Source organism: Homo sapiens, chromosome 12 (genome assembly GCF_000001405.40).
Source record: "Homo sapiens chromosome 12, GRCh38.p14 Primary Assembly".
NCBI lineage: Eukaryota > Metazoa > Chordata > Mammalia > Primates > Hominidae > Homo > Homo sapiens.
In genome coordinates, this window is record NC_000012.12 from 11,306,669 (window position 1) to 11,310,797 (window position 4,129).

Sequence of the window (4,129 nt, forward strand, 5' to 3'; positions counted from 1 at the left end):
CAGAATTTCTAGCCTAGCCTGGCCAACAGGGTGAAAACGCATCTCAACTAAAATTACAAAAATTACCCAGGTGTGATGGTGGGAACCTGTAATCCCAGCTACTGTGAAGGGTGAGGCAGGAGAATAGCTTGAACCCAGGAGGTGCAGGTTGCAGTTAGCCAAGATCACGCCACTGCATTCCAACCTAGGTGATAGAGCAAGACTCCATCTCAGAAAAAGAAAAAAAAATTGAAGTCAGGGAAAGAGATAAACAGCAAAACATTTTTCATGGCAGCTGGCTAAGTTAGGATTAAAGAGAAGGGAAACTCCCTGGAAGCATCAGACAGAAGGGGTCCTAGATGTTCTTATAATGTGTTCTTGGTCCTCACATTCCACATTCACAAACACTGAGAAAGAACACCACAATCAGAAATTGCAAGCTGATTATTTTATTGGTATATTAAAGTTAGAGCTATGATGACCTTGTTCCAATGTCACGGCATTTGTAGCAATTGAATTATTTGAATTCACTGATATCTTCTTATTCACTTCCTGAAATAAACAAACAAGCAAGTTCATAGATTCACTCTTTTGATGCCCTTGCACACAATGTGCTCCAAATTGTGGCTTAGAAGATGAAGAGAAAAGACCATCCTTAGGTTGCTGTGACTCATTGCTGTTGAATTTGTTCAGGGATATATTTACACAGATGGTAACTGGAACATATTCTATAATACTGAGAAGCTAAAACCACCCTCAGTGTCCAGTGACAGGGATTGGTTAACGAAATCATGGCACAGCTACACAATAGAGTAGTATAAAAATGTAAAAGCAAACAGAAAACCACTGAAGATATGTAGTGACCTTCATAAACTGATGTGGAAATTTTAAAAAAATGTATTTTTTAAATGACTAACATATATACCTGCATATAAGTTATGGCATTAGTGGTAGGGTAAAAGAATGCTATATGTCTATGCACACATAAATATTTCAAAGAAAAGATCCCATAAGGTTAACAGTGGGAGCTTTTTGAAGGAAGGAAGGTGGGTAGGATGTGTTATGCCTTTAAAATTAGCTTCATATTTTTCCATTCCATTAGATATTTTTTGTTAGCTTAATCATGTACGTATTGAAAAGTTAAGTATCTAAAAAGTGACACGCCATTTAGCTGCTGAAAGATCAGGGACCATTTGGCAGGAATACTGGACTCGAGAGGCTGGTGTGAGGCAGGACTGAGCAAATGGTGCTCAGGTGAAAACTTTAAATGGGAGGTCTCTGAGTTAGTGGATAGAAAACAGAACGCCAAGAATGAACATGGTACTACCTCCTCATTGCCAACACAATTTAAGACAGATCATATGGTATGTTGTTTCTCAACATCAGAATTCCTTAAAGATTTTGTTAGAAATACAGGGTCCCCTTACCCTATTCCAGAGTATCTGAATACAAATTTTTAGAAATGGGTTCTAGGACAATACAATGTCAATGGGTTTTAGTTGATTCATTGGCACAATAAAGTTGGAGAACTGTAGCAATTAGAGTCCTGATGAATAATAAAGTGGAATCATACCTGTCATTGAATCCTAGATTACTGGGGAGGCTGTTGTCCCTGGGCAGGTCTGGGTGGCCTGCCCCCTTGAGGAGGTGGAGGTGGCCCCTGGGGCTTTCCAGCAGGAGGTGCCTGAGGCTGCTGGGGATTGCCTCCTGCTGGGGGTGGGCCTTGTGGCTTTCCAGGAGGTGGGGGACCTTGAGGCTTGTTGCCTTCTTGTTGGGGTGGTCCTTGTGGCTTTCCTGGAGGAGATCGGGCACTTCGGGACTTGTTTCCTTCCTGTGGGGGTGGTCCTTCTGGCTTTCCTGGATGAGGTGGGGGACCTTGGGACTGGTTACCTCCTTGTGGGGGTGGTCTTTCTGGCTTTCCTGGAGGAGGTGGGGGACGGTGGGACTGGTTGCCTCCTTGTGGGGGTGGTCTTTCTGGCTTTCCTGGAGGAGGTGGGGTACCTTGGGACTGGTTTCCTCCTTGTGGGGGTGGTCTTTCTGGCTTTCCTGGATGAGGTGGGGGACCTTGGGACTGGTTGCCTCCTTGTGGGGGTCGTCCTTCTGGCTTTCCTGGAGGAGGTGGGGGACCTTGGGACTGGTTTCCTCCTTGTGGGGGTGGTCCTTGTGGCTTTCCTGGAGGAGGTGGGGGACGTTGGGGCTGGTTTCCTCCTTGTGGGCGTCGTCCTTCTGGCTTTCCTGGAGGAGGTGGGGGACATACGGCATTCACTGAATAGTTGCCACAAATTTTTACAGTAATGGAGCTAAATGGGGAAATGCACAAAAATGAGACCCAGATACTAATTTCTTTGCATTTTCAGTGAAGCCCTAGAACTCTGGAGTGGAACGCTGGGGGAAAAGGGAGAAGTTGAGGGGCTCTCAGTCTAAGGAGGAGTCAGAATAAGGACACTGGCCATTTGTCTGTCATCTCCCAGGAGGCACTCCTGGCCAGGGGGATGTCAACCCACTCCTGTTGTCATCTAAGCCAAGCATCTCTGACATTCCATTTGGTGGCCTGCTCATGGTCCCCAGAATCAAGTTTGCATGAAGATTGCCTATATCATTAGGGGCAATAACATTAATCAATTCCTGAAAGGAAAGTGTTGATAAGAAGACACTGGAGAAATGATCCATTTGTAAGCAGAAAAAGGGAGTCAAAACAGATTGAGAATGAATTGGGATTTACCTGATATTAGGAAGAGAGATTCTTCCTGGCTGACATCTAGAAGAGAAGCACAGGATGATGGGAAATGTTACATCTCAAATCTTCAAGACTCACAAGTGTTCTACAGGGAAAATTGTCTTCTCACCACACCCCATGCATCCCCTAGGTTAACTCATCAGCCACCATCTGTGAAGGTGCTGGAAGGGGTGGAAGGTGTAAGAGGAGGCAGGGTTGTTACCACACAGAGCAACAGCAATGAGTTCAACATAGAACAGCCCCTTTTTTTCCTCCCTAGCATCCCTCAAGACTTAATGCTTATTTAGTTTATGCATGCCAGGTACTTCAATGTGATATTTTGGTGTTCTTATGCCCTCCATCTCCTGTTAATATATTGCATACATACACATGTTTTCTCAATAGGGGTAACCAGAAGTAATCATTTCAATACAATCTAACCCATTCCACTCCCAGCACATTGAAATACTGCATGTAGGGGAGAGAAAAATTGTAATGATTGGCTCTGATATTTCTACATCTTTAGTTAGACAGAGACAAGTGTTCTATCCAGTTCTGTCTCTGCAGTATCTCTGATGTGTATGTATCTCTATCATCAATGCCGACTGTCTGTACAGCAAGGCCACCATCATCCCTGTGTACTTACTGGGATCAGTATAGGATCTTCACAGCTGGACTTCCCTGAATCTGCCTTGCACTCTCCACTGCAGCCTTCACAGCACAGTTCTATCTCTATAAATTCAAATCTTACCTTCTCATTCCCCTGGAACAAATTCGTTATTGGATTTCATTGTACATTAAATAAATTAGAAGTCCTTATTGTGGAATGAGGGCACAACAGGTCTCCTGATCCTAGGCATGAAAACTCTGCAGCCCCATCTGTGTTTTCATTCTCCTCTCTTCCCCATAATTACCACTGTCACCTCCTAAGTCCCAAGCAGTCACCGCATCTTTTCCCCCTTCTGTTTTACCTTCACTTGAACTCTCAGCTGAGCTCAGGGCCAGCAGGGCCACTGACAGCAGAATCAGCAGCATCTCGCTGGAGGCTCTGGAGTCACTCCCAACTCTGTGCTGGGAGGAACGTGGCAACTCCCTTTATAAAGAGGAGCAAAACAATGGCACCTTTGAGCCCTGGGTGGGCCTCACCACCTCAGAGACTGGGTTCTGCTTTCCTTACTGCAGGTCAGGTGTATCCCTTATTTCTCTTTGGGACTCTAGCCCAGAGGGATGGGGTGGGTTGGATGTTGTTTGTGCCTTATTTCTAAAAGGTACGACTATGACTTGAATAAAGGTTCTAAAGGAACTGTGTCCAAGCTATCAGCACTGTGTCATAATTGAACTTCAGACATCATTAGAGTTTCAATCCTTTTGGTAAGACTATGTCTGCTTTCCACTCTACTATTTATTTCTGTGTAATATTTGTGGGGGCAGTGA

General features: G+C 44.6%; 1 protein-coding gene across 2 annotated transcripts; it reads right to left on the reverse strand.

Moving 5' to 3' along the window:
* Positions 1 to 408: 408 nt before the first annotated feature.
* On the reverse strand, positions 409 to 3,768 carry PRB4 (proline rich protein BstNI subfamily 4). Of its 2 annotated transcripts, NM_001261399.3 has the most exons (5): positions 3,667 to 3,768; positions 2,702 to 2,737; positions 1,981 to 2,214; positions 1,553 to 1,773; positions 409 to 531 (listed from the first exon to the last, which is right to left on the reverse strand). In NM_001261399.3, exons 1-4 carry the CDS (start codon positions 3,728 to 3,730, stop codon positions 1,571 to 1,573), a joined length of 537 nt encoding a protein of 178 aa, NP_001248328.1. In that variant the 5' UTR covers positions 3,731 to 3,768; the 3' UTR covers positions 409 to 531; positions 1,553 to 1,570. The 2 variants fall into 2 exon arrangements, with proteins under 2 accessions (NP_001248328.1, NP_002714.2); NM_002723.6 differs by having other exon boundaries at positions 1,553 to 2,214.
* Between the last annotated feature and the right edge of the window lie 361 nt (positions 3,769 to 4,129).

What these genes read in the sequence shown, in the direction of transcription:
- PRB4 (NM_002723.6), bottom strand. Translation starts at nt 3,730, where the DNA reads ATGCTGCTGATTCTGCTGTCAGTGGCCCTGCTGGCCCTGAGCTCAGCT. An exon ending in AGCTGAGAGTTCAAGTGAAG is followed by an intron (nt 2,738 to 3,666) that starts GTAAAACAGAAG and finishes CTTCTCTTCTAG; the next exon opens with ATGTCAGCCAGGAAGAATCT. An exon ending in ATCTCTCTTCCTAATATCAG is followed by an intron (nt 2,215 to 2,701) that starts GTAAATCCCAAT and finishes CACCTCCTCCAG; the next exon opens with GAAAGCCAGAAGGACGACGC.